The 15,820-nt window shown below is 38.4% G+C and overlaps 1 protein-coding gene across 20 annotated transcripts in view; it reads left to right on the forward strand.

The window, feature by feature from the left end:
• The window catches only part of NLGN4Y (neuroligin 4 Y-linked), a 323,039-nt gene that overhangs the window by 24,940 nt on the left and 282,279 nt on the right, over window positions 1-15,820 (forward strand). For 2 of the 20 annotated variants that reach the window (XM_011531428.2, XM_047442719.1), the window contains exon 2: window positions 13,037-13,116. The exons of 17 other annotated variants lie outside the window; for them this stretch is intronic. The gene's annotated coding sequence lies outside the window, so the exon portion shown is untranslated. Of the gene's footprint in view, window positions 1-6,178; window positions 13,117-15,820 lie in introns of those variants that run through there. One more of the 20 variants, XM_024452490.2, reaches the window with a different exon arrangement.

A 15,820-nucleotide genomic window follows, 5' to 3' on the forward strand; every position in this document is an offset into this window, starting at 1 on the left:
AAACACATAGGTACAGCAAGTGTTGAGGATGGGCTGTGTTGTGTTCAGTGTTATCTTAAGGGTTGAGCTTCTGTGATGAAATTGAAATCAGATCATTTCAGGTGGTGCAACTTGCTGGTAAGCCATGGATGTTATTCTGTAGGCAATGGATGAATCATAGCAGGACTTTGCAGAATTATTAAAGAATATCAGTTTCATGATAGTAGAGGTTGGGATAGAATACAGAAGATTAGTGGTGCGAGTTGAGATCTACTTATAGATTCAACTGGGTTAGAGATTGAGGAAATGGGGAAGGAATGAGGCTCTGCAGAGGCATTGGAAGGATGATACTGATAGAAATTTGCAAACCGTTAGAGGCCAAGACAAGAAATAACCATCCAAAGTTGCAGTTATAGGTAAAACTGTCCAATTAAGAAAAGAGAAAGAGTTCAGAGGTGGGTGAAGGTCAAGATTATTAGATGCTTTGGAGATCCTTGGGACTGACGGATATGTTATTTATTATTTTCTTGGTGATTATAAGGTAATTAATAGAAATTTAGAGATTATTGTTTTTCCATATTTTCTTGTTTGGAGGCATTTTTTTTAACCTGAAATTGGCATTTCCTTTTTTACCTGAAACATATCCATTATCCAGACAGTTTCAGTGAGGCACGGTGGCCAAAGTAGGAGGATGACTTGAGTTCAGGAGTTGGAGACCAGCCTGGGCAACATGGCAAAATGCATCTCTACAAAAAATATAAAAATTACCCAGGCATGACAGTGTACACCTGTAGTTCCAGCTGTGTGGTAGGCTGAGATTGGAGGATCAGTTGAGCCTGGAATGCAGAGGCTGCAGTGATCCCAGATCATGCTATTACACTCCAGCTTGGGTGACAGAGCAAGACCCTGTGTCAAAACAGAACAAAACAAACAACACACAAAACAAAACACAAAACACAAAAACAAAAACAATAAAACTTTCTTAACCATTCTAACCTAATTATAATTCTAAGACCTATCTGTGTCCTGACCTCAAGAGCAGGTACAATTATTGAAAAACATTTCTTTAATTATTCCCAGTTCTCTTACACCTTTTTTTTTCTCACAATAGGCAGCATCCCCTCAGTTGTCCAGCTGACCACTGGAAGGGCTGATACCTCAGGAAACACATACCCTGCTAGGAGATTCTCCATAGGCCCTGACTTGTTTATTGCCCTGCTTTAGGTAGCTTTCTCCTTCCTCACATTCTGTTCTCCTAATTTTCTTCCACTGCCTAATAATTGAACTGACTTTTCTGACTGTCTGTTCCTCCTGCCTTTGCAGTTATTGTAACTCCATAAATGCCACCCTTGAGTCACTTCTCTTCCTTCCTTCCTACTGTCTCTCTTACTGGCCTATGTAGCCTTGCATCTACTCATGGTTTGATGATAATTTCCTTTGGAGAGACCCCAGGGGCCTATACGTTCTGCCCTCACTTCCCCTCCAAGTTTCTTCCTGCCCTTATAGCTCCCCTTTGAACAACATTGCCTATATGTTCTGCCCAAAACTCAATTCAGTGTTCCCAAAATTGTCTCGTCATCTTCCCAAGCTTACCCGGCTCCCTGCTCATAGCATCTCCTCTCAGTCCCTTATCTTGGGTTTGAATCCCCTCTCTTTCCCATCCCCAATGTAAATCACTTTCAGAAATAACAGTTACTTCCATTTCTTCTTCTGTGATACATCTCTAATTTCCTTGGTCATATGCTCCCTTTTTCTGTTACTATTTTAATCATATCCTGTCTATGACTTGTACACTCTCTAATCTATTTTTAAAGCTATTCTTCATCTTCCTATATAATTGATTGTGTAAGACTATCTCATTCAAAATTCATCAACAAGTGTCCACTGTGCTACACGACCTGCCCCATCTCCATCGTCACAACGACAGTCATCATTTCTTTCCTCTGGATGGTATACTTCATCTTCCATCCAACCTGAGTTTACCTAGGAATCACTGCATTTCACCCTTGGTTTCTTGCTTTTTCTCATTCTTTTCAGGCTCTCTTCAACTTGGAATACTGCTACTATTCCATCTCCACACAATTTATTCATTACTGAGGGCTAAAATGCTGTTTCTTGCACTTCTCTCCCAGTTTCCTCGTTCTGCAGAACTAATTTACTGATTCCTCTCTCATCAGGGACAGTTCCTTTCCAAAATCCTACAACGTGGGTCCATGAAATCAGCTAGAGAAAAAGAGGGACAGGATGGAGGCTAGGATTATCATGGGCACTGACATACTGGCCTCTGGGGGTAGGAAGACTAATACTCCCTAGGAAGGAAGGAAAAGAACCTTGGAGAGGACTGTTTTATCTCAGTATTTCCCAGAAGCTCCAACAGTGGAGACTTCCCTGGGACCTTCACCCCATCTGCTCCTAATGAGCTTCCTGCCTGTGGGGCTCCACTCAGAACGTTACATCCGGTGATGCATAGGACACCATTTGCAGAAATGTGTGCATGCGTCCTGGCGTGTGCGTGCTTCCTGGCGTGTGCGTGCTTCCTGGCGTGTGCGTGCTTCCTGGCATGTAAGTGCATGTGCACATGTGGCATTTACTGAGCATGCATGCATTGATGTGAGAATGTATTTTCTTCCTTTCCACGATGAACTGCCACAGAATGGTTAAAGTTTTTCAGGGCTGAAAAGGTTGTTTTAGCTTGAATATGCACAAATATGTTTTTATTGCAGCAACTATTTAAAATAGCTCTGAAAGCCATTATTTTCCCCATTCCTTCTTCCCCCCAAAATTTGACTCTTTATCCAATTTTCCATTCTGTGTCTTTTAATTGGGGCATTTAGCCTGTTTACATTTAAGGTTATTATTGTTATGTGTGATTTGATCCTGTCATTATTATGTTAGCTGGTTATTTTGCACATTAGTTGATACAGTTTCTTCATAGCAACCTTGGTCTTTACCATTTGGTATGTTTTGGCAGTGGCTGGTGCCGGTTGTTCCTTCCGTATTTAGTCCTTCCTTCAGGAGCTCCTGTAAGGCAGGCCTATGTTGACAAAATCCCTCAGCCTTTGCTTGTCCATAAAGGATTTTATTTCTCCTTTGCATATGAAGCTTAGCTTTGCTGGATATGAAATTCTGGGTTGAAAATCCTTTTCTCTAAAAATGTTGAATATTGGCCTCCACTCTCTTTTTGATTGTAGGGTTTCTGCAGAAAGATCCACTGTTAGTCTGATGGGCTTCTCTTTATGGGTAACCCGAGCTTTCTCTCTGGCTGCCCTTAACATCTTTCCTTCATTTCAACCTTTGTGAATGACTATTATGTATCTTGGGGTTGCTTTTCTCGAGGAGTATCTTTGTGGTGTTCCTTATATTTCCTGAATGTGAATGTTGACCTGTTTTGCTAGGTTGGGGGAGTTCTCCTGGATAATATCCTGAAGAGTGTTTTCCAGCTTGGTTCCATTCTTCCTATAACTTTCAGATATACCAGTCAAACATAGGTTTGCTCTTTTTACATAGTCCTGTCTCACGTGCAGAAATACACATACACTCAAAATAAAGGGATGGAGGACTATTTAGCAAGCAAATGGAAAGAAAAGAAAGGAGGGCTTTCAATCCTAGTCTCTGATAAAACAGACTTTAACCAACAAAGATCAAAGAAGACAAAGAAGGGCATTACATAATGGTAAAGGGATCAATGCAACAAGAATAGCTAACTGTCTTAAATATATATGCGCCCAACATAGGAGCATCTAGATTCATAAAGCAAGTTCTTACACCTACAAAGAGACCTAGACTCCCACACAATAATAGTGGGAGATTTTAACATCCCACTGTCAATATTAGACAGATCAATGAGACAGAAAACAAGGATATCAGGACTTGAACTCAACTCTGGATGAAGTGGACATAATAGACCTCTACAGAACTTTCCACCCTAAATCAACAAAATATACATTCTTCTCAGCACCACATCACACTTATTCTAAAATGGACCATATAATTGGAAGTAAAAAACTCCTCAGAAAATACAAAAGAATGTAAATCATAACAAACAGCCTGTCAGACACACGTGTGATCAAATTAGACTCAAGATTAAGAAACTTACTCAAAACTGCACAACTACGTGGAAACTGAACAACCTGCTCCTGATTGACTACTGGGTAAATAATGAAATGAAGTCAGAAATAAAGAAGTTCTTTGAAATCACTGAGAACAAACACACAACATATTAGATCTCTGGGACCCAGCCAAAGCAGTGTTTAGGTGGAAATTTATAACACTAAATGCCCACAGGAGAAAATGGGAGAAGATCTAAAACCGACACACTAACATCACAGTTGAAAGAACTGGAAAAACAAGAGCAAACAAATTGCAAAGCTAGCAGTAAACAAGAAACAACTAAGATTGTAGCAGAGCAGAAGGAAAGAGATACAGAAAAACCCTTCAAAAAATCAGTGAATCCAGGAGCTGGTTTTCTGAAGATTAATAAAATAGGTGGACCACTAGCAAGACTACTAAAGAAGAAATTCAGAAGAATAAAATAGACACAACAAAAAATTATACATGGCGTATCACCACTGATCCCACAGAAACACAGGTACCATCAGAGAATACTATAAACATCTCTATGGAAATAAACAAGGAAATCTAGAAGAAATGGATAAATTCCTGGACACATACATCTTCCCAGGACTAAACCAGGAAGAAGTCAAATCTCTGAATAGACCAATAACAAGTTCTGAATTTGATGCTGTAATTAATAGCCTATCAACTAAAAAAAGCACAGGACCAGAAGGATTCACAGCTGAATTCCACCAGAGGTACAAAGAATAGCTGGTACCATTCCTTTTGAAACTATTCACAACAACAGAAAAAGAGGGAACCCTCCCTAACTCATTTTATGAGGCTGGCATCATCCTGATACCACAACCTGGCAGAGACACAACAGAAAAATAAAATTTCAGACAAATATCCCTGATGAACATTGGTGTGAAATTTTTCAATAAAATACTGGCAAAGAGAATCCAGCAGCACATCAAAAAGTTTATATACCACGATTGAGTCGACTTCATCAATGGGATGGAAGTCTGAATCAATATATGAAAATCAATAAATGCTGTCCATCACATAAACAGAACCAATGACAAAACCACACATGATTATCTCAATGCAGAAAAGGCCTTTGAAAAAATTCAATACTCCTTCAAGCTAAAAATCCTCAATAAACTAGGTATTAATGGAACGTATCTCTAATAAGAGCTATTTATGACAAAGCCATAGTCAATATCATACTCAGTGGGCAAAAGCTGGAAGCATTCCCTTTGAAAACTGGCACAAGACAAGGATGCCCTCTGTCACCACTCCTATTCAACATAGTATTGGAAGTTCTGGCCAGGGCAATCAGGCAAGAGAAAGAAATAGAGTATATTGAAGTAGGAAGAGAGGAAGTCAAATTGTCTCTGTTTGCAGATGACATGAATGTATATTTAGTAAGCTCCATTGTCTCAGCCCCAAAATTCCCTTAAGCTGATAAGCAACTTTAGCAAAGTCTCAGGATTCAAAATCAAGCTAGAAAAATCACATGCATTCCTATACCCCAGTAATAGACAAACAGAGAGCCATATCATGAGTGAACTTCCATTCACAATTGCTACAAAGAGAATAAAATGCCTAGGAATACAACTTAAAAGGGATGTGAAGGACCTCTCCAAGGAGAGCTACAAACCACTGTTCAAGGAAATAAGAGAGGACACAAACAAATGGAAGAACATTCCATACTCATGGATTTGAAGAATCAATATTGTGAAAATGGCAATAATGCCCCAAGTAATTTATAGAATCAATGCTATCCCCATCAAGCTACCATGACTTTCTTCACAGAATTAGAAAAAACTACCTTAAATTTCATATGGAACCAAAAAAGAGCTTGTGTAGCCAAGACCATCCTAAGCAAAAATAACAAAGTTGGAGGCATCAAGCTACCTGACTTCAAACTATGCTACAAGGCCCCAGTAACCAAAGCATGGTACTGGTACCAAAACTGTGTGTGTGTGTGTGTGTGTGTGTGTGTGTGTGTAAAAAATATATAAATTTTCAATATGTAAATATATAAATACATAAATATATTATATTATATTAATGTGTAAATATATATTCATATATAAAAATATATAAATATATAAATTTGTAGATATATAAATTCTGACATTTAGGTTTCCTTCTTCTTAGGAATTCCACCAAAATTACACGAGTAACACTATACTAAATTTTTACCTACTATCATTAAAAAATAATGACTTACTCAAAGCTCTGACACTCATTAGAGCAGGTTGATATGGTAGAAAATTCTAGCCCTATGCAACTGGAGTGATCTTGATGCTAAGACAATATGACCCAAAACCTTGTCCTTTCCTTTTGGCTATATGAATATTTTCTAACTTTTGTGAACAAAATATGTCTCATTTTCCTCATGATGGTGTTTCAAAATGAATTGATGGGTGTTTTTCAGTTATTAGTGGATAGGAGCTCTCTTAGCTCAGCCCTTCAAAAACTTGTGTTTGATGTTGTAATTTTGTAAATTATCTCAATGTATGCCTATATGCTTACACACATAATCCCCTACCTAAAAGATCAACCTTAGCTTAGAATTTCTTCCTTTTTATTTTTTTCCTCTATTTTTTTTTTTTTTTTTTTTTTTTTGAGACAGGGTCTTGTTCTGTTGCTCAGGTTGGGGTGTAGGAGTACAATCATAGCTCACTGCAGCTTTTGAGCTCCTGGGCTCAGGCGATCTTCCCACCTCACACTTCAGCCTCCCCTGAGAGCACAGGCATGTACCACCACACCCAGTTGATTTAAAATCTATTTTTTTGTACAGATGCAGTTCCTATGTTATTCAGGCTGGTCTCGAACTTCTGGCCTCTAGTAGTCCTCCTGCTTCAACCTCCTCAGAGTACAGGCATGAACCATCATTCCTGGCCCCTTACTATTTCTATATTTTACTTTTAGTATAAGTCTGTGAAAGAAGTATATTTCTCATAGTTTGTTGAACTGCGCAGATGATGATGTTGAAGGATCTGCACGATGGTTATGATGGTTGCTGTCATTGCACTACAGTGCTTTTTAAAAAACTGAAAATATTCATTTCTCACTAGAATAGTCATACAGGCATTTATTTGTTGCTTTAGAATTTGGAAACTTCTTTTTATATTCATAGTTGTATTTCATTCTGCCAGCAGATTAGGCAGATTCATCCTCTCCCACTTTCCAGTGGTAGAAACAGGTGTCCTGAGGCAGTGAAGTAGTTGTTGGAAAATCACTGTGGTTTGCTTTCCAGGGATTTTCTTGTCCTCTGAGTGCGAAAGTATCATAATACATGGCACATTCCCACAGGAAGTTTAGGGTGTGAAAAGTCAATGTATTAATATACATATGGGATCCACTTCCACTCAAAGCAAAACACATTGAGTCAAGTATCAGAGCTCAGTGGGTGTACATGATGGCATTTAATTTTCCTAAATTACTTCATATAATTAATATACACTAAGCCTTTGTTATGATGCTACACATCATTTTTGGAGTCACAAGCTTTCAACCTTCATCTAACTAAAAGATGGATATCTTCATTTTATATTAGGTGGTCTGGAAGCCATAGTAGTGTTAAAGAGCACATAGGGAATGTTTTAGTCCATTCGGATTGCTGTAAGGAAATACAATAGACTGTGTGGCTTATAAATAACAGACATTTATTGCTGAGTTCTGGAGGCTGGGAATTCAAGATCAAGGTGTGGCAGATTCAGTGTCTGGTGAGGACACACATCTTTGTTTGTTGATAGTGCCTTTTCCTTGTATCCTCATGTGGTGGAAGGGATAAGGGAGTTCTCTGAGTTCCCTTTTGTAAGGGCACCAGTCCCATTCATAAGGCTCCAACCTCATGACTTCATCACCTCCCAAGGGCCTCACCTCCTGATACTATCATCTTGGGGGTCATGATTTCAACATAGGAATTTGGAGTGACACAACCATTCAGATCATAGCAGAGAGAGTGAGATGAGACTTGCCGAACTCCATAAAGCCATATGAATATTTTCAGTTCCAGTCCTATTTCCATTTTCAAATGTTGAGTTATGAACTTGATTGATGCCTCCTGGTATTTTTCAAAATGTTCTAGAGCTCTCATGATCAATATTAAACCTTTCCCATTCAAAGGACATGATTATTTTATGTGAGTAATGTGTTGCTATTTGACAAAGGAGTACAACTATAAATAAATCTTGACTATCTTGATGTAGGAAATAAATACACCTGTCAAGATATACTATAATGCTTTTGTAGTCAAAACAATGATGGGGCTAGCATTGTGACTCATGCTTGTAATCCCAGCACTTTGGGAGGCCGAGGGAGGTGGATGACTTGAGGTCAGGAGTTCGAGACTAGCCTGTCCTACATGGTTAAACCGCATCTCTACTAAAAATACAAAAATCAGCCAGGCATGATGGTGCATGCCTGTAATCCCTGATACTCTGGAGGCTGAGGAAAGAGAATCACTTCACTCCAGGATGCAGGGGTTACAGTGAGCCAAGACGGTGTCACTGCACTCTAGCTAGGCACCAGAGTGAGACTCGATCTCAAAAACAAACAAAGAAAAAATGGTGGATAGAATAGGATATTATTTAAATGAAAACTGTAAGGGGAGTTGTATGCTCTCAAATGTCATTATGCACAGTCTAATATGTCCCTTTCACTCTGCCACTCTACCTGCTAATTTGCTTCCTTAATTCAGACTTACCTATTAGGTTATTAGTTATAATATAGGTTGACAATTATGCAGCTTTTCTTCTTTACCAAGACCTGTTCCAAGTGCTTTTTATATTAACTCATTGGTGTCAACCACTCTACCCCATAGTAACCATTAGTATTAGTTTCCTATCTGTGCTGTGGTAACAAGTTACTACAGACCTAGTGGCTTCATACAGTTCTACCACTCAGAAGTCCAAAATGAGACTTAGGAGGCTAAAATCAAGGTATCATCAGGACTTCATTATTTTTGGAAGCTCTGCGAGAGGATACATCTCCCTACCTTTTCAAGATTCTAGAAACTTCCTACTTTCGTTGGCTCATAGGCTCCTTTCTCCACCTTCAATGCCAGTAGACTGAGTCCTTGTTCTGTCATCTTTTTGTTTGTCCCTCTTTTTCCCTTTTCTATGGGCACAGTGGATAACCTGGAATGATCTCCCAATTTCAAGGTCTGCTGACTGGGAATCTTAATTCCACCTGCCTCTTTCATTCAAATCCCTTTTCCATGTAAGACCACACAACCGCGCATATTAACACATGGGCATCTCAGGGGGACCATTATTATGCAGACCACACAGTTGTTATCTTCATTTTATAGCCAAGAAAGACAAACAGAGTTAAATCACTTACTCAGATTGTTGGTCTGCTAAATGGTAGAGCTAGTTAAAATTAGGAGCATACGCAGGGAAGCTAGGCAGTGTTGTGATCAAGGCCCTTGGCCCCCTAAAGTTTCAATGAAAAATCATGGAGATAATCAGTGACTATTACTGTCCACTCAACCGGGTTGCACAGAGGGAGAGAGAGACCAGGAGCCTGGCTGGCTGATGATAATGTCTTACCCTATTGCTAGCAGTGTTGGTTCCTGGGTTCTCTGCACTGTGGCTTTCAAAAGAACAGAGCAGCTTTGGTGACCCCACTTGTTGTGCCATAACTGTAGAGGCCAAGGCTTTTTATCCCCTAAAGTTTTACTGAAAAATTACTGACTAGGCAGACCAATTTACAGGTGAAATGACATACAAACATGCTTAATGCAGATACAAAGGAGCCTTCAGAATGAAGACGCAACCTCCCTGTGAGATCCTGAAGCTTATATACCAACCTGAGTTTACAGAAAGAGTGGGGGCTTGGATCCCAGTAATACAGATGATGGGAGGGGGAGAAGAGGAATTCTGTCGAGGAGATTACTAGAACGGAGATTAACTTGTAAATAACTCTTTTTGAAAATTAAATAATCCTTGAGGACAACCTTGGAAAACTGTCTGTTGAGGTGTGGTGTCATCTTGGTTTTTTTCTGCAGTCGATAAGGATATAACAGGAAGGGGTTAAAAACAATTATTATCCTTGTGGGAGTCTGTGTCTTAGGCAAATAAAGAAACTTCAGCTACTTTGGGAGAGGTAGTGGGAGAGGGGGAGGTTGGACTTCTTCAACTCAGCCTGTCAAAATGCCATATTTTGGGGTATTGTTTTCTGAGCCTCAGCAGGACTCATACAGTATTGTGGGATTTGGGGCTGAGCCATGGTGGGACAGATTTTCCCCTGAGATCCTTATGCATCCAAATCAGTAGGTGCCTGTTCACGTTCAACATGAAAAAACTGACACAAAGCAATGAGTAGGAAATTGGGGGGTAAATGTAATGAAACAAACGTGTGTTAAACAACATTTCTCCATAATATTAAACTAATGTGAAGAATTTAGAGTCAGGAATTTTTCTGGAAAGTGTAGGCTCCAACTTCCTCAGAGTATGATTTGTAGGATGCTCTTCCCCATTCACTACTCCACCCAACATTTCTGACAGTTATCAGAAGAAAGAGACCTGGTATAATTAATCAAACTCAAGACATTTAGGTCATTGTTTGCTTGAGATTCATCAGGAGGTCTTCTAACCATGCTGCAAACACTTTAACTCATCAGGGCTTCACAGATGAATTTACTGATTCCACAAACTTGTAAATTGTATTTCCAGAGCCAATGTGAACTCTCTCAGTTATGGTTTTTGTCTTGAAGACTGTGACTTTCATTTAAAATGTTGTTTCAATGATGCATTTTCTGAACTCAATGAAATTATGAAGGGACAGATTTTAAAGTCCATAACGATTTTGTTTTATTAAAGCTGCCAAATATTTTTAATATGGTGTGAAGAGGCACAAGAAAATGTAAACCCTAGTTACCACTGAGACGTCCCATTGTTTAGTCATTTCAGCACCACTGCATAGACTTCCGTAATATGAGAAAGAGACTTAATATCCTAGTCATGAGGAGCACAGGGTTTAGGGAAAAATACATACACAGATATATCTATATGTTGATATACACACACACATATACATGCACACACACTCACACATACACAATCAGTGACTTCTTATGATGGTTCAACTAATGATTTTCAACCTTATGATGGTGTGAAGGCAATACACATTGTAGATGTCCACAAAATATTTAAAAAGCTTTATTCTGAGCCAAATACCAGTGACCTAGGCCTGTGACACAGCCCCAAGAGATCCGGAGAACATGTGCCTAAGGGGGTTGAGCATGATTTTATACATTTTGTAGGGGAGAGAAGTTACAGGCAGATATTCATCAATTCAAGGTATACATTTGTTTCTTCCAGGAAGGTGGCACAACTTGAAGCAGAGGATTCCCGGTTATAGACAGATTCAGAGGTTTTCAAATTGGCTATTGGTTGAAGGAGTTAAGTTACCTAAAGACCTGGAATCAATAGAAAGGAGTGTCTGGGTTAAGAAAAGGTGTTGTGGAGACCAAGGTCTTATGCAGATAAAGTCTCATAGTTGGCCATCCTTAGAAGCAATAGATGACAAAAGTTTCCCATTCAGACCCTTGAAAGATGCTAGATGCTCATCTAATCACATCAAGATGAGCAAAAGACCAGTCAAGGGAAGTAAACCTGAAAAACTTGTTCACACCACTTTATCCCTCCTTGGATTAGATAGTGTTTGCCTCATGGTTAGAAGATCTCCTGATGAATCTTGAGCAAACAATGCCCTAAATGTCTTGAGTTTGATTAATTATCCCAGGTCTCTTTCTTCTGACAATTCAGGTAAAGAGTAGAATGCAGCTCTTCCTTATAAAAGGCAGCTTTGTGAGGCCATTTCAAAATATATGAAAGAAGTATATTTTGGGGTAAAATGCTTTGATTTCTTTTAGGGCCTGGTATCTATCATGTGATGTTACACCAGAGAGGTTGAAATTTGGTATCTTTTTGTTATCAAGTGTCTGTTTGGTTGGTCTTATGATTTCTGTTTTAATGTTAATTCTGGTCAGTTGTGCCCGAGTTCCAAAGAGAGAAGTGTATAGTGAGGCATGTCCAATCCCCATATCCCCTCATCGCCAGAAGAAGTTTTTCAGGATTAGTTTGGAATGCCCTTGGCAGAGAGGGTTTATATTCAGTTAACTGGGGACTTAGAATTTTAATTTTGGTTTACAGAATTCACTAGAGACTCTACATCCAGTACCCATATAATCATTCTAATTTGCACTTTTGGTACAGGATTCAATAAATTACATGAGATGCTCAACACTTTATTATAAAATAGACTTTCTGTTAGATGCTTTTACCCAACTGTAGGCTAAAGTAAGTGTACTGCACATATTTGAAATAGACTAGGCTATGTTGCATGATATATTTGGTCTATGTGATAAATTTTTGTCTTATGATATTTTGAACATATCATGGGTTTTTCAGATGTAATCGCCATTGCAGTTCCAGGAACATCTGTATGTATTTTATGTGTGTGTGTGTATGTCTGTGTGTGTTTGTGTGTGTGTATGTGTGTTCTTCAACTCCTTGGACAGATCTCAACCTTTCAGAGGCTTCGTTTTCTTCTTTGTAAAATGGGAACAGTGGTATTTCTCTTATGGAATGTCATTGTGGAGTAATTTAGAAAAGCGTAGCATTCAACCGGAAACCTTCATAGCATTTATTGCCTGGAAAATGATGTTGATTTCTAGGGGAGATAAGTACTTTCTTATTTATCACATTTCATAAAAGGAAGGAACCTACTTTTCTTGAATTCTAAAACACATATGTGCATTGGGAATGGGAATGAGAATACACTTAGCAAAATGATCCCTCTGAAGACAATGGCAATGTGTTTGCCAAGGGGATTAATTAGACGTATTTTGCAATACTGTTTATAGAATGGAAAACAAGAAATTGAGAGGAGGTAGTTGGAAGTGTGCACTTCTCTGCAGATCAGCCAACTGGCCTCAGTACTTTAGGTAAGGGATTTTAATTTGTCCTTTGGTTTACAGGACAACGCAGACTTACTGCTGTTTATATTCATCAAACACACATACCTGAGTAGCAGATCTCTACTCTCCCTTTAAATAAGGTAATTCTATGGAACATTTTTGAAAGCCTAGAAAAATGTAATACAGAGGTGATGTGAAAGAAAATTACATCTATTGTCCTGTTATCCCTTGACTTTCTCTGGATATAAATGTTTTCCACATTTTTGCAACCTTTCTCTGCCTAAGCTTTCATTTTGGGGAAAACATAACAGTGTATGATTTTCTGTGTGTTTAATTCTAAAATTGCAAAGTTAATCCCACACCATTGTGGAGATAAACTTTTGAGTTTCTGTTTGAAAATTTGGGGATATGGAAATTGTCAAATACTGCTGATATATATGTTTAAGAGACCCAGGGGCATGAAAACATCTGGATTTTTAAATATATTGTCTGGTAATCATATAATACATCGTCCTACATTGAGAGGTAACTGTTTATTAATCATAGTTTCTCTTCTATATTTTATTATTATACTTTAGGTTCTGGGTTACATGTGCAGAACGTGCACTTTGTAATAAGTATACATGTGCCCTGGTGGTTTGCTGCACCCATCAGTCCATTACCTACATTAAGTATTTCTCCTAATGTTATCCCTCCCTTAGGCCCTACCCATTGACAGGCCCCAGTATGTGATGTTCCCCTCCCTGTCTCCATGTATTCTCATTGTTCAGCTCCCACTAATGAGTAAGAACATGTGTTGTTTGGTTTTCTGTTCTTGTGATAGTTTGCTGAGAATGATGGTTTCCAGCTTCATCCATGTCCTTGCAAAGGACATAAACTCATCCTTTTTTATGTATTCCATGGTGTATATGTGCCATATTTTCTTAATTCAGTCTATCATTGATGGACATTTGGGTTGTTTCCAAGTATTTGCTATTGTGAATAGTGCCTCAATAAACATACGTATGCATGTGTCTTTATTGTAGAATGATTTATAATCTTTGGATATATGCCCAGTAATGGGATTTCTGGGTCAAATGGTATTTCCAGTTCTAGATACTTGAGGAATCACCACACCCTCTTCCGCAATGGTTGAACTAATTTATACTTCCACCAACAGTGTAAAAGTGTTCTTATTTTTCCGTAATGTCTCCGGCATCTATTGTTTCCTGACTTTTTAATGACTGCCATTCTAACTGGCGTGAGATGGTATCTTATTTTGGTTTTGATTTGCATTTCTCTAATGACCAGTGATGATGACTATTATTTCATATGTCTGTTGGCTACATAAATGTCATCCTTTGATAACTCTCTGTTCATATACTTTGACCATTTTTTTGATGGGGTTTCTTTTATTCTTATCAATTTGTTTAAGTGCTTTGTAGATTCTGGATATTAGCCCTTTGTCAGATGGATAGATTTCAAAAATTCTCTCCCATTCTCTAGGTTGGCTGTTCACTTTGATGATAGTTTCTTTTGCTGTGCAGAAGCTCTTTAGTTTATTTACATCCCATTTGTCAATTTGACTTTTGTTGCCATTGCTTGTGGGGTTTTGGACATGAAGTCTTTGCCCATGCCTATGTCCTGAATGGTATTGCCCAGGTTTTCTTTCAGGAATTTTATGGTCCTAGGTCTTACATTTAAATCTTTGATCCATTTTGATTTGATTTTTGTAAAAGATGTAAGAAAGGGGTCCAGTTTCAGTTTTCTGCATAGCTGGCCAGTTTTCCCAACACCATTTATTAAATAGGGAGTCTTTTCCCCACCACTTGTGTGTGACAGCTTTGTCAAAGATCAGATGGTTGTACCTGAGGCCTCCATTCTTTTCCATTGGTCTATATATCTGTTTTGGTACCCATACCATGCTGATTTGTTTACTGTAGCCTTGTAGTATAGTTTGAAGTCAGTTAGCATGATGCCTCTATCTTTGTTCTTCTTGCTCAGGATTGTCTGGACAATCTGGCCCCTTTTTTGGTTCCATATGAAGTTTAAAGTACCTTTTTCCAAGTCTGTGAAAAAGACAGTGGTAGCTTGATGGGGATAGCATTTAAGAAATTACTTTGGGCAGTTTGACCATTTTCAATATATTGATTCTTCCTATCCTTTAGCATGGAATGCTTTTCCATTTGTTTCTGTCCTCTCTTATTTCCTTGAACAGTGGTTTATAGTTATCTTTGAAGAGGTCCTTCACATCCCTTGGAAGTTGTATTCCTAGGTATTTTATTCTCTTTTTCACAATTGTGAATGGGAGTTCACTCATGATTTGGCTCTCTGTTTTTCTGTTATCGGTGTATAGGAATAGTTGTGATTTTTGCACAGGATTTTGTATCCTGAGACTTTGCTGAAGTTGCTTATTAGCTTAGGGAGGTTTTGAGCTGAGACGATGTGGTTTTCTAAATAAACAATCATGTCTGTGCAAACAGAGACAATCTGACTCCCTCTTTTCAAAGTTGAATACTCTTTATTTCTTTCTCTTGCCTGATTGCCCTGGCCAGAATTTCCAATACTATGTTGAACAGAAGTGGTGAGAGAGGGCATCCTTCTCTTGTGACGGTTTTCAAAGGGAATGCTTCCAGCTTTTGCCCTTCAGTATGATATTGGCTGCAGGTTTTTCATAAGTAGCTTTAATTATTTAGAGATATGTTTCATCTTTACTTAGTTTATTGAGAGTTTTTAGCATGAAGTATGTTGACTTTTTTGAAGCCTTTTTCTGCATCTATTGAGATAATCTCATGGTTTTTGTCATTGGCTCTGTTTATGTGATGGATTATGTTATTGATTTCCATATGTTGAATTAGCCTTGCA

Source organism: Homo sapiens, chromosome Y (genome assembly GCF_000001405.40).
Source record: "Homo sapiens chromosome Y, GRCh38.p14 Primary Assembly".
NCBI lineage: Eukaryota > Metazoa > Chordata > Mammalia > Primates > Hominidae > Homo > Homo sapiens.